Source organism: Homo sapiens, chromosome 15 (assembly GCF_000001405.40).
Source record: "Homo sapiens chromosome 15, GRCh38.p14 Primary Assembly".
Classification (NCBI taxonomy): Eukaryota; Metazoa; Chordata; class Mammalia; order Primates; family Hominidae; genus Homo; species Homo sapiens.
The window spans coordinates 100891907-100919713 of NC_000015.10; the positions used below are offsets into that span (position 1 = coordinate 100891907).

Below are 27807 nucleotides of genomic sequence, written 5' to 3' on the forward strand. Positions count from 1 at the left end.
CTCTGCATCCGGCCGGCCGGGCTCTGCAGTGCAGGAGGGAAGGATTGCATCTTTGTGCTGGGGGCGCGACCCTTCTCGGCTCAGTCACTTTCCACAGCCACACTGGCCAGCCTGGCCGAGAAGGAAGAGCCTACATCTTCTCTTTCTCTTTTGTTCGAGGAGGGCAGCTCCCACTGCAGCCACCCCAGAGCCAGCTAACCTTCAGAGAGCTTCCTGGGAACACACAAGCACACACGACTGGCCACACAGCAGAGGCCACTGTGCTACAGATGGAAGATCAGATGCCAGTGTGCGTTCCTTCCCAGCACAGCTTTAAATCCGCCTGGCCTCCAAGGGGCCCTTCAAAGAGGGTGCATGTCTATGTTTTAGCCCACCACCCTGCAGCCCACTTTAGGTGTTTTGAAATAAAAGCAATCCTCACACTCAGAGACAGGCCTCGCTTTACATTTGGTGTCATGCTTTCTGAAGAGGTGCATCTGACTGTGAGGTCTACAGAGCAATGTCCTAGGACTGTGTTCTCTCCCCAACTTCCATCTTTAACAACCTGACAGTGCAAAAGAAAAGCAAGCTATGTCCGAAACAGACATCATCTTGTTATTGCAGGCCCTGGAGACGATGGATACAGGGAAGCCATTTCTTCATGCTTTTTTCATCGACCTGGAGGGCTGTATTAGAACCCTCAGATACTTTGCAGGGTGGGCAGACAAAATCCAGGGCAAGACCATCCCCACAGGTGAGCAAGGTGGATTATAGCTTCATTTGGGATCCCTTTGGGGCTATATCTTTTCATTAATCCAGAGCCCCCCCTGACTGTTTCCCTAAGGCACCATTCCCAACCCCACTCCCTCTCCAAATGGTACTGCCAATTCTTCTTCTAAGAACTTCACTTTTAAAGTTGAGGTCAAATCACTTCTCTGTATAATAGACAAGACTTGAATCTGGCACCCTTGTTGGTTTCTTTCTTGTCTTTTTACTACTTGAAGTTCCTAACCTGGACTAAGTGAGTGTGTCCTTCCCCACCATGTAACCCTCTTCCAGATGACAACGTCGTGTGCTTCACCAGGCATGAGCCCATTGGTGTCTGTGGGGCCATCACTCCAGTAAGTATGGCAGCCTTTCTCAGTAGATTCTATGTAGATCCTGCCCCACTGCCCTGTGTCCTTTGGAATCAATTTCTGGTGTGTTTTTATCTGATTGCACCAGCGTTGAACAAGCATTTTCTTCGTGGCATGGAACTCCATGCTTGGGGGCTCTTGAGATGGATTAGACCCCATTTCTGCTCTCCTAAGACCGGCTTTAGGCATGCCACAGAAAGCACTGTGGTTCCCAGCCAGAGTGGTCAGGAATGGCCAGCATTCCCAGGAAGGTGGTCTCTTAGCTGGGCCTTAAAGATAAGAAAGACTTGTTCAACAAGGAAAAGGATTTTCCAAGGAGTGGGAATGGCCTAGGCAAAAGTGCAGAGGTGGCTGGGCTACTTGGAAGGGAACAGCAGGAAAGCTGGTGGGGCTAGAGCTCAGGCAGGAGCAAAAGTGAGGAAAAGGGTGAGCACACGTGGCAGGTGGTGTGGGCCAGCTTCCAGCAGCTTTGGCTGCTAAGGGGCCGGGACTTTATTCATTGGGCGGTGGGGATGCTTATAGGTGCCCAAGAAGTGCAACAATGCTGCCTGTCTGTTTGGGAAGCCTCTGGCCATTGCAACAACAGCCAGGCAGGAAGCTGAAGAGCCAGGTGGCAACATGAAGTGAGGGTTCAAAAAGTGCCCATGGAGGCAGGGAGGAGGACACGTCTTCAGCAGATGTTTTAGAGGGAGAGGTAGAACACATGCAACAGCATCCTCTTTGCAAAGGCTGCCTATTAGTACCACCCAGAATGCAGTTTAGGAAGTGCTGTGCAGGATTGCAGTTCTGATCATTGCACACTCCTATGTTACCCCACATACCCCAAATCCAGACCATGAAAAGCAAGTGTCCTCCACAAAGGCATCGTTGAGCACATGGGACAGGGTAAGAGGGTGGATCTGGGCCTCCAAAGCCCCTGTGCTCTGTCGCAGTGGAACTTCCCCCTGCTGATGCTGGTGTGGAAGCTGGCACCCGCCCTCTGCTGTGGGAACACCATGGTCCTGAAGCCTGCGGAGCAGACACCTCTCACCGCCCTTTATCTCGGCTCTCTGATCAAAGAGGTGAGACATCCAAAAAGAAAATATCACATGTTCTTGGTAACATTCCCACTCCTAGGAACCAGGCCACCGTCACGAGATGGGACAGTGGCAGACTGCTGGCAATCGAGTGGGAAGGGAATGACTTCCAGTGTTTTGTTTGGCGACTGCACGTTCTTTCTCCTGCTTGTGGCCACTGAGCTGGAGAAACTCCATTCCTCCCAGTGGTCCTAATGAGAATGCTTAACTCTTATTATGGGCTCAAACCTATGGTTGAGGACCCAGTGGTTTGTCTAGAGAATTTTCAGGGGGGGTCAACCAAGAGGGAGCCAAATATTTGGGAGGTTCTCTGGGATTTGCATTCTCAGTTTATGAAATGGTCCATTTTTCTCTGGAGAGGTGGCCTCGTCAGCTCTAGCTGGGCGGCTGCAGCAGTCCGTGTGCCGGGTCCCTGCTAATCAGTGCCCTCTGCTCTGAATGCAATCTCTTCTCCCTCAGGCAGCCAGAACTTAGGGAAACAGAGGCTCAATGGGACACCTCCTTCCAGACATACCTTTAGTCATTCCATCCCCAGGTTGTATGGAGCAAAGATTTAGAGAAAGCAACAGGAAGCAAAGAGGGACAGAAGAAAAGATCCATTCCTTTCTCTTCTTAGTCGGGCTGATATGACCGGCAGGCAGGTCCACAGTTGCTTAGAAGCAAGGTGGGAACAGCTGGTGATGAGCCAATTTTCCACTTTCCTTTGGTGATGTGGGGCATAATTAAGTCACACTGGTGAGACTTAGGAATGTGAAAATCCCAACTGTTAAGAAACAGTGCCTAAAAATCTAAAGACTCAAGCAGCGTGCCTAAAATCTTGATTTTCTGAAATAATGTGTTCTAAGTAAGACTCAGCACAGGTGGGGAAGAGCATCCTCCACCTCGTTTGTTTTGTGTTCTCGCCTGATAAAGAGGCTTAGTATATGAAAAACACGAGGCATGAACGTGAACGAGGTGGCAGTCCCTGCCTTCCAGAAGGGCTTGCTCCAGGTGAGACCCAGGTTGAACAAGCAAAGAACTTTAAGGGAGTGATACCCTGTCACCATTTGGAATAATAACGGGTCTGATTAAAAAATGAAAACTGGGCTCACGCCTGTAATCCCAGGACTTTGGGAAGCCGAGGTGGGTGGATCACGAGGTCAGGAGATCGAGACCATCCTGGCTAACACAGTGAAACCCCATCTCTACTTAAAAAAAAAAAAATTAGCCAGGCGTGGTGGCGGGCACCTGTAGTCCCAGCTACTCAGGAGGCTGAGACAGGAGAATGGCGTGAACCTGGGAGGCGGAGCTTACAGTGAGCCAAGATCGCGCCACTACACTCTAGCCAGGGCGACAGAGCAAGACTCCATCTCAAAAAAAAAAAAAAGAAGAAAAAACAAAACTGAAGCTCTTGGCAGATATTTTGCAGGTGCCTCTGATCCTGGGCAGGGCATTCTGATCAAGGTACCCCTCTCCCCTTAACGCATACACACACTCTCCCTCACACACACACACACCCCACATGGAAAGGTGCTGTGCTACAGGCGGGCCATGGCCACCTTGAAGCATAACCACACATTTGCACTGCATATCACTTTGGGATGGGGTCCCCCCCCAGAAGGAGAAGTGGGCATCTCCCCTTGCCCAGCCTGCACACTGGGCTGGCAGCAGGGGATGAGAAGCCCAGGTCAGCTCCCAGGGTGCCCACGGTCAACTGCTTCTGGGTCCTGGGTAAATCCAGCCCGGCCCGGGTTCCCTGTGGGGATGTGAGGCAGCCACGGCTCTCTCGGCCCAAATGTGGATCCGTGGTGGATGAAGTCCGTTCTTCTTCAAGTGCTATCTTGATTTCTTCCCAGGCCGGGTTCCCTCCAGGAGTGGTGAACATTGTGCCAGGATTCGGGCCCACAGTGGGAGCAGCAATTTCTTCTCACCCTCAGATCAACAAGATCGCCTTCACCGGCTCCACAGAGGTAACCCTCCTCACAGGGTGCTGGGGAAAGTGAAAGGGGCGTGTTATTTGACACCCGTGAGCTTTTCCTTTGACAGGCTTTAATATGATTTGTTTTTCTTCTAAATTTGACCATGTTTTAGTACATAACAACCAGTTAAAAAAAGTCACTGGTCTAGTTTCCAAACTAAATAAATATCTAATAGAACTCAGAAGCCTTAGAAGAAAAGATTGAGAGATAAGATAAAGTAGAAATGTAAAATATTCATCTGTCAAACACCATAATTAAGATTAAGAGATAAATAACAAGCTCAGAGAAAAATAGTCGTGATGCATGCAGTGCTCCAAGAATTTATATCCGTCATATGCAAAGTGCTCCTACAAGTCAATGAAAAAAAAAAACCAAACTGAATGGTAGAAAAATGGGCAGTTCAGAGAATAGAAATACGACGTGCCCATTAAGCTTAAACTAGTTTGCTGGTAATCAGGAAAATGCAAATTCAAACAAAATCAGACTTTCCTTTTGCCTGCCAGATTGCTAAGAACTGAAATGATACTGCTGAGAATATGGGGAAGCAGGTGCTCAGCGACACTTGCCCTAAGATGCACAGTGTTTTGGTAGCACTCATCCAACATTTAAAGTGAAAAACTTTTCGATTCAGAAGCTCCATTTCAAAAAAAGAAAAAACTACTTAGAGAAATTTTCTCATGAGGCTTCAGGGACATATTTTCAAGGATATTATATTCATTCTCTGGAATGTTTTACAGCCGTTACAACAAGGAAAGCTGTCCATGATCTATTGTTGAAGCACAAAACAGCAAACGGTAGAAAATTACCCACAATATTTTCCCATTCGTAGAGGTGTGTGCTTGTAGAAGTAGAAATTATCTGGAAGGATTCCCAAGAAATCCTTACTGATGGCCACCTATGGGGTGGGCTCGGGGCAGAGCCGGAGGGAAGCTGAAGGCTTTCTCCCTGTAATTCACATACATCTCTATGTGGAATTACTTTTAATGAGAAAGTATTTCTTCTGTACTTAAAAAAGAAAAAAACACCCGCTGCAATCAGTGTCCCCATCCCCCTCCTTAGTTAGTCCAAGCCCTGGTGGATGCTGTTACTCTCCTTGGAGACAGACACTGCCCTGTGGATGGATTCCAGACCTCATTCAGCCATCACCCATGAGCTTGCTGATGTTTAAAATGCGCTCACACCTTAGCATTGGAGAAAACAGTCTCAGACCCGGAAGAGCCTGGGCCGCGCCTTGCTAGCTTCTGGCTCTAGGCCTCCGTGTCTGCACTGGTCTCTGAGGATCTTCCCAGCTCTGAAGTTCGTGGTGCTGGGCTTTACTTGTTGCCCTAGATAAGTCACCGAGTCATGCTGGGCCAGCCCTCCCCTCCAGGGGTACAGTGGGCAATGGGAGAGACCCCGTGGGGGCCTTGAGCATGACTGGTGAGTGGCTTTTCTGCTCATAGCGCACCCCTTCACTCCCTGCCTGTCTGCGGCAGCCTCAGTCTTAGAGTGTGTTTCCAGAGAATCGGCTCCTTCTCATCCGGAAGGCTGGCTGCCCTCGCTACTTCTCTAACACTTGGAGGTTCCCTCAGATCACACCAAAGAGCCACACAGAACCACCCCCCTACTGGGCTGTTGGAATTTCAGCTGTTTCTAGTGAGAGGTAGAAGAGTCACCCTGCGGTCCCTGAAGCCCTTTACCAGACTGGCTGGACCAGCCTGCTGGGCTCAGAAGGACAGGCACCAGGACAGGTTAGCGGGTGGCAGCCCTGTTCCCAGCCAGCTGTGTGGGCTTCCAGAGGCTCTAACTCACACCTGTAAGTGGAGCGGCTTAGACCAAGGATCCCAGGATGTCATGGTCTGGCATGGGAGGAGATGCTGGCAGAGGCCAGGACAGTGAAGGGACGGCATCGGGGCCTGGAGCGCCTGGGCCGAGAGCCAGGTGGTGGCACTGCCACCCGGGCTTGATCAGAATGTTCACTGATGTTTACGCCTGGGCCAAGTTCAGCAACATCCAAGGTAAATTGTGATCTGTGTTCTGTCCTGGAGGTTGGAAAACTGGTTAAAGAAGCTGCGTCCCGGAGCAATCTGAAGCGGGTGACGCTGGAGCTGGGGGGGAAGAACCCCTGCATCGTGTGTGCGGACGCTGACTGTGAGTCTCTGCCCTCCTGGGCTTTGCTGGGGCTTCAGGGCATCCATCTGTCTCCCCCTACTTCCTGGCCTGAATTCAAAACCAACTGAGAGTAAGATGTGTGCACACACAGTGGGGACGCTTCCACCGTGGGCATCCTGCCCACAGTCAGCCAGCCGCAGACAGGCAGGTGGACATCAAAATGCCAGCTTTACTTCTAGCAGAAAGCTGCCTTCTACTGCCAAAACGATATGGCTTGAGTGGCACCTGAGAGGCTGCCTGTTTCTGCGCCTTAGCGTTAAGTTTACCTGCCTGTTCCTGCAGAGCTGGGGTCACGAGGAGCAGGTCTGGCTTCTCCTCCAGAGCCCCCTGGGAGGAGTGGGGAGGGCAGGTGCTGCCCACTCCCAGTCATTCATTCTCCCCTCCAAGTCACATTTCCTATCATATGTTTTAAGATCCCTGAAGAGTGGAGGTGCTCTTTCCTTGTGTCTCAGACCTGATAAATCAGAGGAGGGCAGTAGCAACTGATCCTTCAAATTACCCGCTTTGCCTGGTTCTAGGCCTGCACCCCTGCCCTGGGAAAGCAACCTGCCCAGCAGTTTGGGGATAGCTTGCGTCTTGACAGCCAAACGACACAGCGTTAAAATATATGCTATTGTTGGCTGCCATGTCCACAAGAGGGAAGGAAGGGCTGGCCGGGCATTCATTCACCTGCTGACAGGGTCAGCTATCAAAAGGTGTGACTTCCCAAGTGCCTTGAAACACCTTTGCCTTAAAGAATAGCCTCCCAGACCTGTCCACGGGTGCCAGAAATTCCTGTCGTGGAGAACAAAGCCTTTCACTTCACACTCAGATAAGGTTGGAATTGCAAATATCCCCAAGAAAAATGACCCTGGCACAATTTCTTACTAAGGTGTAAATGACTGATATCAGTTCCTTTCTGGCAGCTGGCTTTCACAATGGGAGAAAGGACAGGAGGAGGATACAGGCTCTCAGGAAGGAAAGGGGAGCTGGGTGTGAAGATGGACTTTCCATTTCTTGCCTGGGTCAGTGTTCCCTTGTGGAAGCACCATTAGTGCTATGAATAGCAAGTGGTTTTTGGAGCCACACGGAGCATTTCTGGCACTGTGACTCACATTTGGAGTCCCAAACAGCCAGGACTCCTGTTTTGCTTTCCTGTGCCACCGTATCTGGATACGCCACCTGCACTGAAGTTCATCTTCCTCCTCTTGGGGAGGAAAACTGCAGCTAAAGCACAGGACTAATTGTGTTTGGGGCTTGGTTTTACTTACGAGGGTCATAAAAACATGCTGTGTAGCCACCTCCTTCTCCTCATCAGGGCGGTGCCAGTCCACAAATTACATCCTGACATAACCAGCATCCCAGGCAAGACATCAAGGGTAACAAGCCACCATTCCCCTGCCCCTTCGCCTCACCCCTAGCTCCGTCAGGAGCAGGAAATGAGTCTGTTATCTCGGAGGAGGGGCAGTTCCAAGTTGGGACCTGGCCCAGCCAGCTGCAGGGGTCAAGGGTGCAGAGAGGTACCCCCAAACCTTATGGTGCTGTCCTGCTGCCACTGAAACTTCCACAAATGACTCAGCTAGATAGGAGCAGCCTCCTTCTCAAAGCCAAGGGCACAGTCCCTTGGAGCAGCCCCTGTGGAATTGGAACGGATCACCTTCCAATGCCCAGAGCCACTGCCAGCCTCTATGCAAAGGAAAGCTGCATTTCTTAAGAAAGCAATAGTGCGGGGGTTGGTGGTGATGAAACCAGCCAACGGTTGAACACTAGAAACCCCTCTGTAGATGTAAATGACATCCCAATACCATTCTTATCCACTAAGCGTGTCCCCCAAGATCTTATTCTCTAAATACCCTCTGGCTTGGTTTGAATAACTGGTTTTAGTTCAATGTCAGCTCTGCAACTTAGTCAGCCCTTCTAAGTCACACACATGATATTATCTTACTTAATAAGACCCTTCTTTTACTCAAGGTGGAACATTTTGGCTTCTTTAGAAGTTCTCGCCAGGGGGCCTACATCAATAATTACCGAAGTTTATTCTATAAAACATTAGTCCTCTAGAAAAAGGGGAGGGGAGGGGAGTCCTCTAGAAAAAGGCAAGTGAAATGGAGGGTGCTATGACTCTCTGGACTTATTAGCATATTAAAGGTACTGAGAAGTCCTGCAGTCAGGGAATTGATTTAACCCCAAACTTGGTGGACCCCAAAATCCTTTCTCCCTTCCTCTCTATTTGGGAAAGTCTGCAAACAAAATTAATTTCTGAAATGCAGCCATCCTGGGGCCTGTTTTCTTGTGTGGGCAATTAGAATTGCAGCTGTCACCAGTCCTGCTTTAACAACTTAATCGCTTCCTCTCGCTCTGCCCGCCTCCCTCGCCCCTCCCCCTCCAGTGGACTTGGCAGTGGAGTGTGCCCATCAGGGAGTGTTCTTCAACCAAGGCCAGTGTTGCACGGCAGCCTCCAGGGTGTTCGTGGAGGAGCAGGTCTACTCTGAGTTTGTCAGGCGGAGCGTGGAGTATGCCAAGAAACGGCCCGTGGGAGACCCCTTCGATGTCAAAACAGAACAGGGGCCTCAGGTAATCCCCCTGGTGTGTGTGAAACCATGGTGCTTGTCTAGGGGCTGAAGCAGGCAGTCCCATGGCAACCGCCTACAGGGTCCCTCTCCGTGAAAGGAATGCTGACCTGTCCTGCCCAGGAGGCTTTCTTTTCTTTAGAAACTGATCAGAAACACAATCCTGTCAGGTCCCGGGGGCTCACGAAAGGGGGCAGGACACACTGAGGCATGGGAGGAGGGCGCTATTCCCAGGGCAGAAGGCCATCTGCCTGAACCCTCCACTCTCCAGGATGACCTCCCTACAGAAAAGGGGCTGTAGGCTGGCTGAAGGCAGCAGAGTGCAGGCAGCGTGTGGCCTGGAGTCTCAGTCGCAGCCCGAGGCCCTCAAGCCCACGTGGGTTACAGGACAAGGTGAACCATCAGAAATCAAACAATCCCAGACGGAGAGAGCCTGGGGCAGGAGAATGTATCTCCAGGCAGTAGGAACATGTCTCTGGAGGATGAGTTTGGGAAGCCAAGGACAGGATGAAAATGATCATAACCACGAGATTTAATATCCTCTTTAAAACGGCACATCCTGTATCACTTTCTTACTAATTATGAAGTGAAGCAGATGGATAAATATTTAAAAGAGGGCAGCCTGACCATCCCATGCATTATTGAAATGGAGCTCAGCAGTCACTCACTTTGCTTTTAGCCAAAGTCCTGCCCCAGCCATGAAATTTCAAGTCACATGTCCGTGACTTACCCACTTGTGTCTATCCCGGGAGGCTGCCACTTCCCCTACTGTGACAGCACTGCATGTTTACAGGGGAGGCTGCTGTGGATCTGAGCTCAGATTTGGCCCTGGGTTTTATGAAAGTCACAAAAACCCTTCCATGCCTCAGTTTCCTCATCTGGAGAGTGGGAGTAATCAATGAATATTATGAGAATTTCATGGCACCTAGGAAGTATTCAATTATGGGCAGGTTTTATTTTTAAACAGGAGGAAGCTTTAAATGACAGGTTCTCCAGTCTAGGTGGCAGTGAGTGTCTGTGCATGACATCAGGCTGTCCTGTGGGGATGCCCTGGCTGGGGAAGAAGGGAGGGCCTCATGGAGGAAGGATGCATTTCTGGCCATCAGTGCCCACCCTCCACTGGCCCCAGTCCACACACTCCGACGCCACGTGACCCTGGCAGAAAGCACTTCTTGTGGCTAACATTCCTTCTCCTCAGTCATTGCCTGCCCAGCCTGTGCCCCAAACCCAGCGGTCAGTGACACAAGGTTGTCTAATGGCCTCGGCTGGATTTCAGATCTGAACGCAAACATGACCACAAGTCATTATTGAATCCGCCGTGAGTTTTAAAGCTAATCCACAATCAGTGGGAAATATGTGAACTGATCCCCATACAGAAGAAACTTTTTTACCCCGTCGTTATTTGTAAGTCTCTTTCTGTGGCTCTTTTCTTGGCTTATGCCTGATGTCTGAGTCTTGACTTTTGAGGCCAGATACACCGATTTCTTCCAAGAGAACAGATAGAGGCAGAATGGGTGCTGATTTCATCAGTGCATTTATGCCACCGCTCAAAGTCCTTCTGAAAGCTCACTAAAGCCGTCTAACCTCAGCATATTATTTTAGAATGCTGTTGGGGTTTCTTTTTCTTCCAAAGTGCTTTTTCATCTACGGTAATAAGATTTTACTCTGAGAGGACTTACAGCTGTCTAAATAGTCCTGTCTGTCTCATGCCTGTAAAACAGCTAGCTGACCTAGATCCGGGTCCACGGCCGGGCTAGCGCTCACAGGAATGCTCCAAAATCATTCAGGTTTATTTGGCAACTGAGCAACGAGGCACATAAACATTATGCAGGCCACCTGGCCGGGCAGGATCCGGCAGCGTCCTCCGGGCAGAGAGCCGAGCACAGCCTTGAGCCAGTCCTGTGGGGGCCGTATTTCCCTGTTTCTGGTGTTGTGCCCTGCTGCGTCATCTCACTTCCTGGCAGGTCTCTCTTCCTGTACTGTAAGGCACCAGCTGACATTTCATGGAGGATTATTAGATTTAAACAATGTGTTCCTACGGGCTCTCCAGGGAGTGTGGAGTTTGGATGTGTAGGTTTTCCACGGGGACCCAGCACTGCCTGCAGGACAAACAGGGTCTGCCAGATGGCATATGCCCAGCAGCCAGGGAGGACCTGCGGTTGGGCGAAGCCCCTGTGTCCCTTTTGGCCCCTCAGGGAGGGGAAGAGCAGCTCAGCAGCATCTGGAACTGTTAACCTGAGACTTGGTTCACCCAGAGAGAAGTTGAGAGAACCTTGAGCTCTTCCGGGATCTGTTGCAAAGCTGTTTTTGTTACTTTTTTTGAGTGGAGTACACATACACGGGTCAAACCCCAAAACGCCTAAAAACGTCTATAGTGAAAGGATTCCCGCCCCTCCCGCCCCCACCTTTGTACACCTGGTTCTTACCCTTCTCCCCACGGTATCCCCAGTTCTTAGTTCCTCATGTTTCCCTCTAGAATGTTTTCGTGTGCATGCAAGCAGATGAATGCAAGTCCTGATTGCCTTTGTTATTTTTACACGGAAGTTTCCATGATAGTATATCATCTTGCACTTTGTTTATTGTTCCCTAAAAAAACTGGAAGAGCTCTTTATACCAGTCCATGGGAACCTGCCTGATTCTTTTTCACATGTGTATGGAATTCTGCTGGATGAAGCCACCAGAATTTCAGTAACATCTTCTGATTAGCATGCAGGTATGTGCAGTCACACACAAGGCCTCAGAGTATGTGATTTCACACACACACAAGGAAATCCCTGGGACAGCTTTCCCAAAGTGGGTTGCTAAGTGGGAACACATTTCTAATTTCCTTAAGTGTTGCTGAATTACCTTCCATAGAGGCTGAACCAACGTGTATTCCTACTAACATTCTAGAAGTTTGTCTGTTTCTTTACCCTTTCCAACAGAATATGGATTTTTGCCCATAGGAGAGTTAAAAATGCTATCTTGTTTCATTTTAATATGCATCTACCGCTTATAATAAGCAAGGTAGAACATCTTATTATATATTTAAAAACCGTTTGTATTTCCTTTATTATCAAATGTGCTTTGCGTATTTTTCTTGCAAGCTGTTAGGCATTTTTCTTATCACTTCTAAGACCTCTTTACATACATAGTAGAGAGATTAGCTTTCTATGAATATGACTTGTTAATATTTTTTCCAAGTTTGTTGTTTTGCTCTTTGTTATGATAATTTTGCCCCCACCCCATTTTTTTTACATACTCAAAATTATACATCTTTTCTTTTTTGGCTTCTGCATTTTGAGTCATTAGAAGGCACTCCAAGTTTGCAGGATAAGTCTCCCACATATAAAACTTTTATGGTTTTGTTTTTCCTGGTTATATCTTTGATCTATTTGGAGTTTGGCCTGGTATAAAGTGTGAGGTATGGATCTGAGTTAGTATTTTTAAACTGGGTTTGGAGTTTGGCCTGGTATAAGGTGTGAGGTATGGATCTGAGTTAGTATTTTTAAACTGGGTTTGGAGTTTGGCCTGGTATAAGGTGTGAGGTATGGATCTGAGTCAGTATTTTTAAACTGGGTTTGGAGTTTGGCCTGGTATAAAGTGTGAGGTATGGATCTGAGTTAGTATTTTTAAACTGGGTCCATATTTCATGAGATGATTGGTCAAGTGGCATGCACGGTTTATGCCCTCTCTCCTGCTCCTCCAGGACAGACCGTCATCCAATTGCACCACTGGGTTTGCTTCTTTTTCTGTTTATGATCATTGGAATGAAACCAGTTTTCCCATCTAAAAATCCCAGCTAAAGTAAACCTAGTAAAGCTTTGTCTCTCCCAGCCAAAGAGGAGGGAGACCAGCCACAGATCATGATAAAGGACAAGATTCCCATAGATTTCAGGAAGAAGGACCAGTGGAGGGGGCAGAAAGAGCATTTTCCCTCTTGAGCAGTCTCCCAAAAGGGTGCGCTTTTGACAACTGCTCAGTAGCGTGTTCACAAGCTGTGGGTCAGGCTGGTGGCACAGGGCAAACTCCAGCCAAGGAGACGTCTAGACAAGATAGCAAAAGGGAGAGTCTTTCTCATGAGCTGTTCCCACCACCAACCAAGGAGCAGCCCTGCCACCCCACCTGGAGGCTCATTCTGCTTTGTCCCCAGGGGTGTTGAGTAAGGTGGTTAGCTTTTCTTCTCGCTTCTCTGCACCATGACAGGAGAATTCCAGTAACTATTACCCTGATTCACGGTGCCAACTGAGCAGGGCACAGGGTTGCCAGGTGATACATGGCACCCAGGTAAACATGAATTTCAGATAAACAGTAAATGCACTTTTAGCTTAAGTATATCCCAAATATTGTTTTGGGACATACTAAAAAAAATTATGTGTCATTTTTCTGAAATTCAGATTCACTGGGCATCCCGTATTTTTATTTGCTAAATTTGGCAACCTGAGTAGAATGTAAAGAGTTGGGAGAAGAAAGACTGTGACCACTTCAGACCTGTGTCACTCATGGACTAACTTTGCTGCATGGAAAAGGGAGATAGAAGTGTAAATATGTCCCAAACCTCCAGAGGATGAGACTAGTCTATCTCCCCATCTCTCCCCTGCTCCAAAGAGCCCAGCTCTGTGCATCAGAGGAATATTTGCCTGCAAGGCTCATTAGTTACATGGATCATGGCTTGACAAGAACATGCAGAGGGAGGATGGCTGATCATGTTGAAGGCCACTGAAAACATGAGATGGCAGCCACTGCCCAGAAGGAAGCCAGGCTGTACTTCTTGTTTGTGTCTTGCAGATTGATCAAAAGCAGTTCGACAAAATCTTAGAGCTGATCGAGAGTGGGAAGAAGGAAGGGGCCAAGCTGGAATGCGGGGGCTCAGCCATGGAAGACAAGGGGCTCTTCATCAAACCCACTGTCTTCTCAGAAGTCACAGACAACATGCGGATTGCCAAAGAGGAGGTACAAGGGGGCTGTGGCAAGGCTACGACTTGCGGGGCCTTTCAAACACGAGTCCTTCCCTAGGGCCCAGGGATCCCAGAAATCCTTGTGATCTGAGTGTTTTTTTGTTTTTGTTGCTGTTGTTGTCGTTGTTGTTTTTTCTGTGTGGTCTTTCCCCTCTCCTTTGGGGTCCCTAGGGAAGCCGTTTTGTCCTGCCTCTGGCGAACTCCAAGCATGATACAGCAGGTACCTTGTTTGTTCTAGCTAGTTTTCACTCATGGCTCACCCTCTCTGGGAGCAGCAAGCCCTCTCTGATTTTCTAACACAACCGGTCCCCGAGTCAGTCATGCAGCCGCAGGTGGAGAACTGTTGCCACCTGTGGGTTTTGCCAGGAATCAGTTCAAGAACCTGTGGATTCAGGGCCCAAAGCCGCCTTCAGTGCCCCTAGACTGAATTTCAAGTGTTCACTCAAGGAACATGTCACAGCTGGAATTTTTATTGACATTTTCCACCACGGACGTCTTGAAAATGAGGGAAATTAAGGAGACTCCCCCACTCCCATAAGAGTGTAAATCTTTCTCTTTCAACTCCACTGTTACACTAGACGGGAACTGGTTCCCACACAGCATTTGTAAGAGGAGAGCTGGATCCCAGGAGGTTAGACCCTGGAGGTGGTATTTTGGGGCACATAAAAGGATGAGTCCCTGCCAAGGGCTTTCTGGGGCAGGTATTTCAGAGGCGTCTTCCTTGAGATTGTTATGTGCCGTGATGGCATGAAGCTCAGCTCCTTAAACATCCCTGTGACGAGAGGTCCTGGGGAACCCGGAAGGTATTTTGGCAGGCCAGGCACCATCCTGCCGGCTTATAATTATGTCTAATATTGAATCAATTACAAGCTCCCTTCAAAATCACCTTTAAATGTTCAAGCCTTAGTTCTTCCATTTCCTTTTCTTTGCTGTGTCACAAACTGTGGTGAATATTGTGTCATTCCTTCCCCTGGTAGTTATTATGGAAACGTTCTAGGGTGTCTTCCTTGGTAGAAAACACAGCTCCAAGAGGTAGGAGCACAGTCTTACAAAGTGCCTGCAGATATCCTTCAGGACAACTCCGAAAAAAGTTACCTAAAGGTTTTGTGTTCTGTGCATCTATGGGTTACTCCAAGGCTCTCTGGCTGGGTTTCTCGGAAACCCTGATGACAACAAGACATCTTAAACACAACATATATTTTTTGTTATTATTTTTTATTTTTGTTTCATGTTAATCCTTCCCTTCAGTCTCCAATGGCAATGCAGCTGAAGCAATGTTTGGACGTTCTTTCTTCTCTAATCATCGTTTTTCAGGCATGTGTGTGCTCTGGGCATATGAAAAACATGTAAAGAGAAGGAAATGCTTGTTCACAGCATGCATTTCCATTCAGTCATGCCTCTCATTGCCATTCTTGCAATTAATCATAGATTTTCGGGCCAGTGCAACCAATACTGAAGTTCAAAAGTATCGAAGAAGTGATAAAAAGAGCGAATAGCACCGACTATGGACTCACAGCAGCCGTGTTCACAAAAAATCTCGACAAAGCCCTGAAGTTGGCTTCTGCCTTAGAGTCTGGAACGGTCTGGTGAGTTGACTGTGTGTGTATTTCAGCTCTCCTGAGTTGCTTCTTGCTAAGTTCATTATTCTTCTATTAACTGAGAGTTTCTCATTGTTTACATTGTATATTATATACCAAGCCCTGTCTCAGTGCTTCCTTCCATCCTCATGACCATCTTCTGAGGTAGCTGCCATTATGTCTCCATTTCAGAGATGAGAAAATTGAGGCACAGAGAGATGAAGTGACTTGCCCAGGGTCACACAGCTAGCAGATGGCCGAGAGGGCTCCAGTACCTGTGCCTGTGGCCCCTGTGCTGTACTGCCCCTCCAACTTTATTTTCCATTCTGATTCTAAAAGCAGTTCATGCCCATCTGCAAAATGTGGATACTAGTCTCTGCCTCATCAGTAATTCTGCAGATTATGTTTTGTGATCCCCATATTAAAGATTAATGAATTGAGGCTCAGAGAGGTTGAGCAATAAGCCCAGAATCATATAACCAGGAAGCAGGAGAACTTTGGGGTCAGTTCTGTCTCATTTCAAAGCTAATTCTTATTCCTCTACACCCTGATTTTTCTTTTTCTTTCTTTCTTTCTTTTTTTTTTTTTTTTTTTTTTGAGATGGAGTCTTGCTCTTTCCCCCAGGCAGGAGTGCAGTGGCACACTCTCGGCTCACTGCAACCTCCACCTCCCAGGTTCAAGCAATTCTCCTGCCTCAGCCTCCCCAGTAGCTGGGACTACAGGTGCACGCCACCACGCCCAGCTAATTTTTGTATTTTTAGTAGAGATGGGGTTTCACCATGTTGGTCAGGCTAGTCTTGAACTCCTGACCTCAGGTGATCCATCCATCTCAGCCTCCCGAAGTGCTGGGATTACAGGCATAAGTCATCATGCCTGGCCCTCTCTTCTTTTTTCTCCCCTTATCATTTCATTCCTATCCCAATGAAACACACTCTGTACTTGAGGATTTCCAAATTTTAGTTGCTGATGAGAAGAATGAGAAGACAAAAGTTGAGAGCACCCTGTGTTTTCATCAAGGAAGCTTTGGCAAAAGACTGTTTATTAGACAATGCCCTGCACTGGGGGCTAAGTGGCTGCAGTGCCAGGAGCCAGGGGGTCTTCTCCAGATGACTCTGAGCTTTCTTCCATTCTTTTCTAGGATCAACTGCTACAACGCCCTCTATGCACAGGCTCCATTTGGTGGCTTTAAAATGTCAGGAAATGGCAGAGAACTGTAAGTGTTTCCATCATTCTGAGCCTGCCGTGGGCTGAACACTAGATCCACTAGATTTGCAGGCAGTGACACAGGCTCCAATCTGCTGACACCCCGTCCCCCCCACACCGCCGCTCTGTCTGGGCCAGCTGTGTCCCTCTAGGGTTGGTGGGGACCCATCCCTTCCTCTCTCCAGCCCACCCTTCCCACTTACATCCTCAGCCTGCCCCCCTCCAGGCCTCGGCTTTTGTGTCTGCCCAGCAGCCATCATGCTGGGGACATTCAGTGGATATTTGACAAAAGCTCCCTGGACGGGGACACAGGCAGAACTGAAAAAGTGTACTTTTGCCAGATGTGGGGTGTCATTATTCACACAACTCCCCACTCACAGCAGTGAAGACAGGTAAGGCTGACCCAGGTAAGGCTCCTACCTGCTGGGTCCTTTTTTCTGAGCCTAGTAGGGGACCTCCTCCCAGGAGGCATATGACAACACCTCCTGCTGGGCCTCTGCGGCCCTCTCAGTATATGCAAGCCTACTGCAAATCCCTCCACATGCGTGTGCAAACCCACTGCAAACCCCTCCATGCGCGTGCAAACCCACTGCAAACCCTCCACGCGTGCATGTAAACCCACTGCAAACCCCTCCGTGCGTGTGCAAACCCACTGCAAACCCCTCCACATGTGTGTGCAAACTCCTCAGTGTGTGAACCCACTGCAAACTCCTCCGTGTGTGTAAACCCACTGCAAACCCTCCACGTGTGCATGTAAACCCACTGCAAACCCCTCCGTGTGTGTGCAAACCCACTGCAAACCCCTCCACATGTGTGTGCAAACTCCTCAGTGTGTGAACCCACTGCAAACTCCTCCGTGTGTGTAAACCCACTGCAAACCCTCCACGTGTGCATGTAAACCCACTGCAAACCCCTTTGTGTGTGTGCAAACCCACTGGAAACCCCTCCACTGTGTGTGCAAACCCACTGCAAACCCCTCCACATGTGTGTGCAAACTCCTCAGTGTGTGAACCCACTGCAAACCCCAGTGTGTGCAAACCCACTGCAAACCCCTCCACATGTGTGTGCAAACTCCTCCGTGTGTGTAAACCCACTGCAAACCCCTTCGTGTGTGTGCAAACCCACTGCAAACCCCTCCACTGTGTGTGCAAACCCCTCCACACTTCCTTTTTTGTCCTGCCTGCTGGGAAAATGAGTTCCCTAGGTTTAGATTAATGGGTGGAACTTCTTGCGTCTGGCCCACACCCAGAGCTGGCTAGAGCAACCCGGGAGTGGAGATGTGTGGTTTCCAGCCGGACACTGTCTTCTCTCCCCAGCTCAGGATTTTATTAGCCTGTGTGGACAAACATTTTGTAGGATCAGTGTTCCCAAGGAACCATCTGTGACAACACCCCAGGTTCCTGGGACATCTCTAGGGACCCAAACTCTTCCTTTTATTTCACTAGTCTGTCCTATTTATATACAAATGTAGTCCCTTGTTTGCACTTCTTCCAGCGGGAACAGACTCAAACGCTTCCCCTCACCTTGGGCCTTGGTTGGGGCCTTTGTGTGGCTCTCTTTTGAGATTCTTAAAGATGCTGTGAAGGGATGGGCCTGGCTTCCATCCCCAAACAGATGTTCTTGACCAGTCTATGTGGAATTGGGGTCCTGTCCCCCTCCCACCTCAGTCCTGCTTTGTAGTCCATCCCTGACTCTCAGCAAATACTCCAAGGCGTCTGCACTTGTGAGTGAAGCCTGTCCATTAGCCTTCCCCCTTATCCCTGTGGCTGGCTTCGCCTTCAGCGGACATCAGTAATTGTTGGCCATGAAACCCCTTTGCAGAAATTGCATTTCCTCCCTCTAGTGGCCTGTTTGCATTTGAGTTCTGTGAGCCCCTGCTTCATCACTTCTTACACCTGCCCCTCCAGGGACAGGCAGCCAGGGCTGGGGTCACCAGGGTCCCCTCTTGGGCCCTCCAACAGCAACAGTACTGGCAACAGCTGGGATTTGCTGAGCACAGACTCTGCAGCAGGCTCGGTTGAGCTCTCTATGCCTGTTCCTTCATACCATCCTCACGCCCATCCATGAGATGGGTCCAGCTGTTTTCAGATGAGAAAATGGCACAGGAAGCTGGTAAGTGACAGTCAGAAATGAATGCTGGCAGCTTAGTCCTTGGACCCACCGCAGTGCAGGACCTTGCTCAACAGGGATCACCCTTGTCCGCCACCTGTTCATGAGGCCACCCAGGGTTTGCGTGGTCATTTGTCTCCTTTCATCTGCTGCCTTCAACCAGCTGGGTCATTAGGGCTGGGGAACCCAGACCCCACACAGTCCTCCTCCCAGACGCCAGACACAGCCTCACGCCACAGCAAGGACTCCAGTCCCCGAAGCAAATGTCCCTGGGCGTAGAAGCTGCAGGGCCCCCAATCCCTGGTGTGTACTGCTTTGCACTGGTGATTCACCCTCATTGCAACCTTCCCTCTTGCCACCCTAACAGTGCTTTTGGCTCCTTAACACCCCCTCGCCTGGCACAGAGCAGGGCTTGGTGAGGACTCACTGGACACAGCCCATGTGTCCTCCTGCCAGTTAGCCTCCATCGGGACTTTTTTGAATGTCTGTTTTTTAGGCCCTTGGCCTATATTTTCTCAAGGCTTTTGATAAAATATTTAAAAATAATTCACAAGGAGCCTAGAAACTGCCTGGAAAACCAATTTCTGTCTTCAGTTGTCTCTAATTAATGTCTTCATGTTGCAAGAAGTTCCCCTTTTTTAATGCTGGAGCATCGTGCGGGGGATTCCATGGTTTTCCCCGTCCCCGGCCACCTGGACTGGGCTGGCTTCTGGCCGCCCACCCACGGGCCCCTCCGGGAGCTGTTTCTGTGCGGGTCTCAGGATGGAGCCTGAAATTCCTCTTCCTCCTGGGAGCCTTTCTTCTGAATAAAAATGATATAGTAACCAAAAAATCTACGCAATAGAGATATGGAAAGTCAAGGCTTCCCTCCCTGACCTTCAGTCCCATTTGTTAGAGGTAAACGTTGTTCCATCATTCATTTGCTCATTCATTCTTTTGTTCACTTGGCAAATACTTCTTGAGCATCTTTGATTCACCAGGCATGATGCTAGGCTCTGAGCATACTGCAGTGAACAACACAGCCACCAGTCCCTGTGCCTCCTGACATTCTGGTGAGGTTTAACAGGAGTAAGGCTGGGCTCCTGGATAGCTTTGAACTGCAAAGTGGTTGAGACTGGCTGAGAATCCATTGAGGAGATGTCCCACTGGGTTGAATAAGAGCAGCAAGAATTTGAACCAGGACAGCAACTTCAGAAATGAAAGAATGAGAGGAGCTCTGTATTGATTCTTAAAGGAATGCTGTAATCCTACTGCATGTGTTAGTTATGTGTTAATTCAATCTGATTTCATCACTTTGTTTGCGTTTCTTTTCTTTACTAACTTGATAAATAATTATTGGCTTTGAATTTTTACAATGCAACATTGTATTCTCACTTTTAGAGTGTATTGTGCATTTTATTTGCATACAATGGATTTATATATGTGTGTTCTTTTCTGTTTTCAAATGAAATGGGAGCAAGCTACATTTCGTTATTGAGACTGGGTTTTGGATATCCTTCCGTTCTTTTTATTGATGATCTCCCATGAGGAACTTTTGTGTATTTCCAAGGGGTTCTGCTATTACAAACCATGCTGATGTACTTCCTTGTGCATACAAGTGGAAGTATACACTTGTGGGAGATTGTTTTCAGAATAAATTACTAAAATTGAGTAATCTGCCACATGAAAAATGGGCTCACCACTGTTTTGGTTACATTTCTTTAATCATGATGGCATTGAGCACCATTTTCACACTTATTGGTAATTCATATTTCTTTTTCTGAAAACTAACTATTCCTGTCCTTTGTTGATTTTTCCATTTGGGTATTTGTGTTTTTCTTGTTGGTTTGCAAGAGCTCTTTGTATATTAAGGAAAATCACACTCTGATTTTCACACAGTGTTGTAAATTTTTTTTCTAGTTTGTCATTTGGGAGTTTTTAATGGAGTCTCTGCTCTACAAAAATAGAATTTAGCATTCTGTTTATGGCTTTTATGTTTTGTGTTTTATTTAGGAAAGATTATAAAATAATTCACTTATTTTCATGGGTTCTGGAACTATTTGTTTTAGGAAATGACCTAAAAATCTCAATGGCACCTACCATTCATTTTCTGCCTAACACATAGTAGGGGCTCTACATGATTATCTGTAATTGTTATAATTACAAGGAGGTGATGGTTTTCCTATTTGATAGTTGATGAAGTTGAGGCTCAGGGAAGGCAAAGAACTTACCTAAGCAACATAGTTCTAAGCCAGTGGTTCTCCAACTTGAGTATGCATCAGAATCACTTGGAGGACTTGTTAAAATACAGATGTCGGCCGGGCGCGGTGGCTCACGCCTGTAATCCCAGCACTTTGGGAGGCCGAGGCGGGCGGATCACGAGGTCAGGAGATCGAGACCATCCTGGCTAACAAGGTGAAACCCCGTCTCTACTAAAAATACAAAAAATTAGCCGGGCGTGGCAGCGGGCGCCTGTAGTCCCAGCTACTCGGGAGGCTGAGGCAGGAGAATGGCGTGAACCCGGGAGGCGGAGCTTGCAGTGAGCCGAGATCGCGCCACTGCACTCCAGCCTGGGCGACAGAGCGAGACTCCGTCTCAAAAAAAAAAAAAAAAAATACAGATGTCTGGGCCCCACCATAGAGTTTCTGATTCAGTAAGTTTATTAGTCTTTTATTGCTCCTGCAAGAAGTTACCATAACATCAGTGGCTTAAATAACATAAATCTATTATCTTATAGTTCTGTAGGATAAAAATCTGACACAGGTCTCCCTGAGCTAAAATCAAGGGCTTCATTCCTTTTTGGAGGTTCTCAGGAGAGAATCTACTTCCTTGCCTTTTCCATCCTCTAGAGGCTGCTCGCATTCCTAGGCTGGTGGCCCCATCCTCCATCTTCAAAGCCAGCACTGCTGCTCTCTGAACCTGTTTCTATAATCTCATTTTGCTCTGCCTCTCTTCTTCTGCCAGTTTTGGGGACCCTTGTGATTACACTGGGTCTGCCTGGATGATCCAGGAGAGTCTCCCTCTTTTAAAGTCAATTGATTAGTAACTTGAATTCCATCTGCAACATTAATTCTTCACTCTGTAGCCCAACATATTCACAGGTTTGGGGGATCCAATTTTGGATACCTGGGGAGATCCTTATTCTGCCTACGATAGTAGGGCTGGGGGAGGCCTGAGAATCTACATTTCTAGCAAGTTCAGAGGTGAGGCTGATGCTGCTGGTCTGGGGACCACACTTTGAGAACCATTGATCTAAGGGAGGAGATGGGATTCTGTCACAGGTCTTTTTAACTACAGAGACTCCAGTGGCCACCTCTACCTTCATCTCTTCCTAAACAAGCACACATTTTTCTTCACCTGACAGCAGATCAAGCGCTTAGAAGGATTTAAATCTCTCCAAAGCTGCCTCTTGGGTCTTGGAAGGGAAGCTACCCTGAAGACGGCCCATGGTGCCAGGGAAGGATCACCTGAGCCCTGCAAGATTTAAAGAAAGGAACTATACCAAGGATGTGAACCCAAAAGCTGTGGCCTCCCCATGTCCACTCTGTGCTAACGTCTGCTTCTCTCATGCCCCCTAGGCTGGCCTCACTGCCTGACAGCTGGTCCCCAGCTGTGCACTCTGAGGCCAGCTTCAGGCCCTTGGTGTTCTTCCCACTGGTCCTCTGGCCACATCCCCAGCCAATAGCTTTGGGCCTCTGCCTCTTCTGTCTCCTCTTCAAGCAGCTCCCAATTGCCATCTAAAAGTTATCAACCCAGTGTAATTTCTGCCCCTCCCTCGTTCACAGACACCCCACCGTCCACCAGGCTCTCTCGTTTTGCTCTCTATTGCCACCCCAGGGAATTCACCTCTTTACTTTTTTTAAAATCCCCTTCATTCTCTAAAGGGAAACCCTTAGTCCTGGCCATTTCAAAAGCATCACACAGAAGAAGACCTTGATATTTACATTTAAGTCACATATGCAGCTACTGACACTTACTAGTGCTGTTATAGTCCTGGCTATTATTCCATGAGGTCGTCACATTTTAACCTTTTGCATAAGCCTCCAACGGCCTGATGGAATGATGAAGCCTCAGAACAGTTTCTACACAATGGCTAAGGGATGTACCCATTTTGAATTTTCCTCTTTTCTGTGATCACAGAGGTGAATACGCTTTGGCCGAATACACAGAAGTGAAAACTGTCACCATCAAACTTGGCGACAAGAACCCCTGAAGGAAAGGCGGGGCTCCTTCCTCAAACATCGGACGGCGGAATGTGGCAGATGAAATGTGCTGGAGGAAAAAAATGACATTTCTGACCTTCCCGGGACACATTCTTCTGGAGGCTTTACATCTACTGGAGTTGAATGATTGCTGTTTTCCTCTCACTCTCCTGTTTATTCACCAGACTGGGGATGCCTATAGGTTGTCTGTGAAATCGCAGTCCTGCCTGGGGAGGGAGCTGTTGGCCATTTCTGTGTTTCCCTTTAAACCAGATCCTGGAGACAGTGAGATACTCAGGGCGTTGTTAACAGGGAGTGGTATTTGAAGTGTCCAGCAGTTGCTTGAAATGCTTTGCCGAATCTGACTCCAGTAAGAATGTGGGAAAACCCCCTGTGTGTTCTGCAAGCAGGGCTCTTGCACCAGCGGTCTCCTCAGGGTGGACCTGCTTACAGAGCAAGCCACGCCTCTTTCCGAGGTGAAGGTGGGACCATTCCTTGGGAAAGGATTCACAGTAAGGTTTTTTGGTTTTTGTTTTTTGTTTTCTTGTTTTTAAAAAAAGGATTTCACAGTGAGAAAGTTTTGGTTAGTGCATACCGTGGAAGGGCGCCAGGGTCTTTGTGGATTGCATGTTGACATTGACCGTGAGATTCGGCTTCAAACCAATACTGCCTTTGGAATATGACAGAATCAATAGCCCAGAGAGCTTAGTCAAAGACGATATCACGGTCTACCTTAACCAAGGCACTTTCTTAAGCAGAAAATATTGTTGAGGTTACCTTTGCTGCTAAAGATCCAATCTTCTAACGCCACAACAGCATAGCAAATCCTAGGATAATTCACCTCCTCATTTGACAAATCAGAGCTGTAATTCGCTTTAACAAATTACGCATTTCTATCACGTTCACTAACAGCTTATGATAAGTCTGTGTAGTCTTCCTTTTCTCCAGTTCTGTTACCCAATTTAGATTAGTAAAGCGTACACAACTGGAAAGACTGCTGTAATAACACAGCCTTGTTATTTTTAAGTCCTATTTTGATATTAATTTCTGATTAGTTAGTAAATAACACCTGGATTCTATGGAGGACCTCGGTCTTCATCCAAGTGGCCTGAGTATTTCACTGGCAGGTTGTGAATTTTTCTTTTCCTCTTTGGGGATCCAAATGATGATGTGCAATTTCATGTTTTAACTTGGGAAACTGAAAGTGTTCCCATATAGCTTCAAAAACAAAAACAAATGTGTTATCCGACGGATACTTTTATGGTTACTAACTAGTACTTTCCTAATTGGGAAAGTAGTGCTTAAGTTTGCAAATTAAGTTGGGGAGGGCAATAATAAAATGAGGGCCCGTAACAGAACCAGTGTGTGTATAACGAAAACCATGTATAAAATGGGCCTATCACCCTTGTCAGAGATATAAATTACCACATTTGCCTTCCCTTCATCAGCTAACACTTATCACTTATACTACCAATAACTTGTTAAATCAGGATTTGGCTTCATACACTGAATTTTCAGTATTTTATCTCAAGTAGATATAGACACTAACCTTGATAGTGATACGTTAGAGGGTTCCTATTCTTCCATTGTACGATAATGTCTTTAATATGAAATGCTACATTATTTATAATTGGTAGAGTTATTGTATCTTTTTATAGTTGTAAGTACACAGAGGTGGTATATTTAAACTTCTGTAATATACTGTATTTAGAAATGGAAATATATATAGTGTTAGGTTTCACTTCTTTTAAGGTTTACCCCTGTGGTGTGGTTTAAAAATCTATAGGCCTGGGAATTCCGATCCTAGCTGCAGATCGCATCCCACAATGCGAGAATGATAAAATAAAATTGGATATTTGAGAAACATTGTGCTTTTTCATTTAAAGACCAAAGTCATTTGAATTCGATGGCAGGCCTTTCTCTTTCTGAGACCTGTACGAAATGGCTGATATTAAAGCAGGATCAATAATGTAAGCATAAAATTACATTTGCTCAGTCAGTCGGGCCCAGTGCTTTGCCTGAGTGTGAAACCCATTTCTGTGGGCTTGGGGGTTGACCAGGCAAGGAGCTGGGCCTCAGAGGTTCCATGTCATAGCTGGCTGAGTTTCAGCTGTTATCTAAGCTGCCTGAGTCTCCTTTTATCATAAAGTAGTGATGGTGTCAGTGTGCGAAATGGTGGGGAGGACTGCATGAGGATTGACGGACAGCATTGTGCCCCTGACGGTGAGCACAAGTGTCTGTTTTTGTCACCTTTTCCTCTAGAGAAATCTAGAGGATCTAGAGAAAGGATCAATTTGGGTTTTACTGACCTCAAGTTTCTAAAGCTTCTAACCAAGAAGCCTCAATCACCCCGTTGTGAGCTGACGCTGCCATTGGCTCAAGATCATTGCTGGTACTGGGGTATGTCCTCCAAGCTCATCCCTTGCATTTGATGTGGAAAGCCCAGATCATTTTGACATGGGTGGCAAAGCACCACCACTTTAACAAAAAAGGGAGGCTGGGATCAGATCTCTCGTAACATATGCACTTATGTTAAGAGAATTTAGACACATTATTTAGAGACATCCCATTTCTCAATCCAAATGTGAGCAGGAAACTGTAGGAGAAGGATATTTTCCCTCATTTGGTGTCCCGGAACATGACTCCCTGAAGGGAGCCATTCTGGGGACAATTGGAGGGTGTGGTATGCGTGTGCACACATGCATTTGTGTGCCTGGTGTGCGTGTGGGGGTTGGCACCTCTCTAGAAGTGGACCCTTTGGGATGTCCTAGCTTCTCCTGCTGGTGGATGAAGCCTTTCTAATGGCTTTGCTCCTTGCTCCTAGGCATGAGCTTGAAGGGGGATAATGAAGGGCGTTTAGGAAGTTGCTCAAGGAAGACTGTCTGAGGAAACTGCGTACTGGGCTGAAGAAAGACAACCGGAAAACACTGAAGGAGCGCTCAGCCACTGCACCTTCAAAAAGGCAGAAAAGTCAGTTCAGGGAGGTGCCTCCCAGCTACCCCACCCACCTCAGGAGGGGTCATTCCAACCTAGGGTGCTGAGAATCTGGGTGGGATTACCAGCAAAAGCTAGAGAACCATGGGTCAGCGACCCTTAGGAAGAAGTGGAAAGGAGTCTTAACTTACCTGCAATAACCTTCCTATGCGAAGTTGTGGCTAACGCATGCCTAATGGCTAGAATTAAATGCTGGGAATATAACGAGCTCAGCACAGGTTATCCGCGTGTCAGATGTTCCTGCTGTCTTCTACAGTGGGGACATTTCCTAGCCTATTCCCAGGCTCCTTTAGAAGGGAAGTGGAGGTGCCCCATCTTCACCTGCCGCGTCCCCTCCAGCGTCTGCCCGGGCCCTGGGCCTGCGCTCCCTCGCGGTGGCGCCAGGTGGCGGGGCTGCGCGCCCTGGAGGAGCTGCACCGCCGTCGCGGGGCTCTCTCAGCACTGAGGACACCACGCCCTGCAAATTGTTGGGAACTTGTCGGTGGCAATCACACTGCTGGCTCCTGCAAACTGGTGTGAGGCCCTCAGGGGTGAGAACAGGATTGCAGAACTGCGCTCACCCTTTTGGAAAGTCGTCCAGTGGCAGAAGTAGCCTCCCAGGAGCAGAGCGAAGCTGCTCGGTGGTCCCCTCTCCAACCAGGGACCCAAGAAGCCGCTCAAGGGAACACGGCCCCGCGGCGTCCGGGAGGTCCTGCAGGAGCCCTGCGGCTGCCCCGGTTCTGTGAAATGGCAGTGAGGGTGGGGGAGATGTGCGCTAAATCCTGGGAACGTGCGAGTCATAACTTTCCAGGAGAGGGGCCCAGGGCGCTGGTCCTGCAGGGCGTGGAACCCTCTGCTCTTCCTGAGCAGGCTTTGTCCCCGGGTCGACACGGGGAGCTCAGCGTGAGGCCCGCCTGCAGCGTGGACGCAGATCTTTTTTATGGTCTGCGTTTCTGTATTAGCCTCAGCAGCCTGGTGACGCCTTTATAAAAGGTCGAAACACGATAAATTGCCAATATTCCACGTTTTATGTATTCCCCCCAAAGCCGACAATTAACAATGACTCACCGAGCAGCAGATTCTTTGCACACATCCATAATTGAATCAGTAAAATCCATGTGTTGGAGGATATGCAAATTGCAGGTCGTTAACGCTTTAGAACGACACATTTCTGTATCGCCCCGTGAAGAGCTCTACGCACATGAATGTTCCCCGTCTGTTTAACTGTTACGGCCGCAGTGTGTGGGCCGCAGGCGCGCTGGGGGCTCATCTGCTGATTTTGCTGCCCCTGGAGCAGAGGGATAGCGAAAGCGGGGCTGAGCGCAGCACGGACCGATCCCATCGCCGCGCTCGCCCCGCGTGGAGGCAGCCGGGTGCCCGAACCTGAAGGAGGACCCGGTGCCGGAAGGGCCCGCGGACCCCGGCGTCTCCCGGGGCATCGAGCGCCATCGCCCGCGTTTTACGGCCAGGGAAACTGAGGCGGCCGCCGAGGGGACGCCTCGCGACGGTTCCTGGGAGAGCTGGCGGCGGCCTTGCTCTGCGCGCTCTTCGCGCCGCCCTCCCCGCCCGCCCGCCTCAGGATTGAGGAAGTGCGTCTGGGCCCGGCCCCGGCGCGGGGGGCAGACGGCGGTGGGACGGCCAGGCCCCGGCCCCGCCAGTGTGTCCGCCCGGCCCCGCGTCCCGGAGCGCCCGCACCCGGCCCCGCCGCCGCCTCAGGTAAGCGCCGCTCCTGCCGGCGCCCCCCGGCGGCCTGGCTGCCTCCCGGCCCCGCCCGGGGAACCCAGAGCCCGCGCCCGGCGCCCGCGGGGAGCCTCGGCCTCTGCCTGCCCGCGGGCCCCTGCGCTCCGGGCGGCCGCGTGGTCGGGCACGGGGGGCCGTTGCGCAGGGGCCGCGGCCCGAGGGGCGCGGAGGGCGTGTGGGGCGACCCCGGTCTCACGTCCCCGCTGCCTCCCGCCGCGCCCGGAGCCCAGCCAGCCTG

At 48.9% G+C, this 27807-nt stretch overlaps 2 protein-coding genes and 1 long non-coding RNA gene across 6 annotated transcripts in view, besides 6 other annotated features; 2 read left to right on the forward strand and 1 right to left on the reverse strand.

Annotated features, from left to right (window-relative positions):
• ALDH1A3 (aldehyde dehydrogenase 1 family member A3) overlaps positions 1-24720 on the forward strand; it is a 36796-nt gene extending 12076 nt beyond the window's left edge. The window contains exons 4-13 of one of the 2 annotated variants that reach the window (NM_000693.4): positions 604-733; positions 1039-1100; positions 2048-2176; positions 4027-4140; positions 6177-6279; positions 8669-8853; positions 13617-13781; positions 15215-15372; positions 16502-16576; positions 22795-24720. In NM_000693.4, the coding sequence (NP_000684.2) occupies positions 604-733; positions 1039-1100; positions 2048-2176; positions 4027-4140; positions 6177-6279; positions 8669-8853; positions 13617-13781; positions 15215-15372; positions 16502-16576; positions 22795-22867 (1194 nt within the window). In that variant the 3' untranslated portion in view covers positions 22868-24720. The remainder of the gene's footprint in view (positions 1-603; positions 734-1038; positions 1101-2047; positions 2177-4026; positions 4141-6176; positions 6280-8668; positions 8854-13616; positions 13782-15214; positions 15373-16501; positions 16577-22794) is intronic. The other variant, NM_001293815.2, reaches the window with a different exon arrangement.
• ALDH1A3-AS1 (ALDH1A3 antisense RNA 1) lies at positions 437-27377 on the reverse strand. 3 transcript variants are annotated; one of them, NR_135827.1, is made up of 2 exons: positions 26898-27377; positions 437-4160 (listed from the first exon to the last, which is right to left on the reverse strand). It is a non-coding gene; the product is annotated as an ALDH1A3 antisense RNA 1 (long non-coding RNA). The 3 variants fall into 3 exon arrangements; NR_135828.1 differs by lacking the exon at positions 437-4160 and adding an exon at positions 21297-24074; NR_135831.1 differs by lacking the exon at positions 437-4160 and adding an exon at positions 21297-24074 and having other exon boundaries at positions 25982-27377.
• Positions 26118-26337: a silencer, noted in NCBI's record as "silent region_6880". NCBI's record gives its function as "represses an Ori minimal core promoter by ATAC-STARR-seq in GM12878 lymphoblastoid cells {active_cell/tissue: GM12878}" and the evidence as "EXISTENCE:reporter gene assay evidence [ECO:0000049][PMID:35858748]".
• Positions 26118-26727: a biological region, named in NCBI's record as "H3K4me1 hESC enhancer GRCh37_chr15:101458234-101458826".
• Positions 26123-26715: an enhancer, noted in NCBI's record as "H3K4me1 hESC enhancer chr15:101458234-101458826 (GRCh37/hg19 assembly coordinates)". NCBI's record gives its function as "activates a minimal SCP1, AML or CMV promoter by ChIP-STARR-seq in naive H9 embryonic stem cells {active_cell/tissue: H9 hESC(naive)}" and the evidence as "EXISTENCE:reporter gene assay evidence [ECO:0000049][PMID:30033119]".
• Positions 26468-26557: an enhancer, noted in NCBI's record as "active region_10174". NCBI's record gives its function as "activates an Ori minimal core promoter by ATAC-STARR-seq in GM12878 lymphoblastoid cells {active_cell/tissue: GM12878}" and the evidence as "EXISTENCE:reporter gene assay evidence [ECO:0000049][PMID:35858748]".
• Positions 26608-26727: an enhancer, noted in NCBI's record as "active region_10175". NCBI's record gives its function as "activates an Ori minimal core promoter by ATAC-STARR-seq in GM12878 lymphoblastoid cells {active_cell/tissue: GM12878}" and the evidence as "EXISTENCE:reporter gene assay evidence [ECO:0000049][PMID:35858748]".
• Positions 27098-27687: a silencer, noted in NCBI's record as "silent region_6881". NCBI's record gives its function as "represses an Ori minimal core promoter by ATAC-STARR-seq in GM12878 lymphoblastoid cells {active_cell/tissue: GM12878}" and the evidence as "EXISTENCE:reporter gene assay evidence [ECO:0000049][PMID:35858748]".
• LRRK1 (leucine rich repeat kinase 1) overlaps positions 27451-27807 on the forward strand; it is a 158901-nt gene continuing 158544 nt past the window's right edge. Inside the window, exon 1 of the mRNA NM_024652.6 lies at positions 27451-27545. The gene's annotated coding sequence lies outside the window, so the exon portion shown is untranslated. The remainder of the gene's footprint in view (positions 27546-27807) is intronic.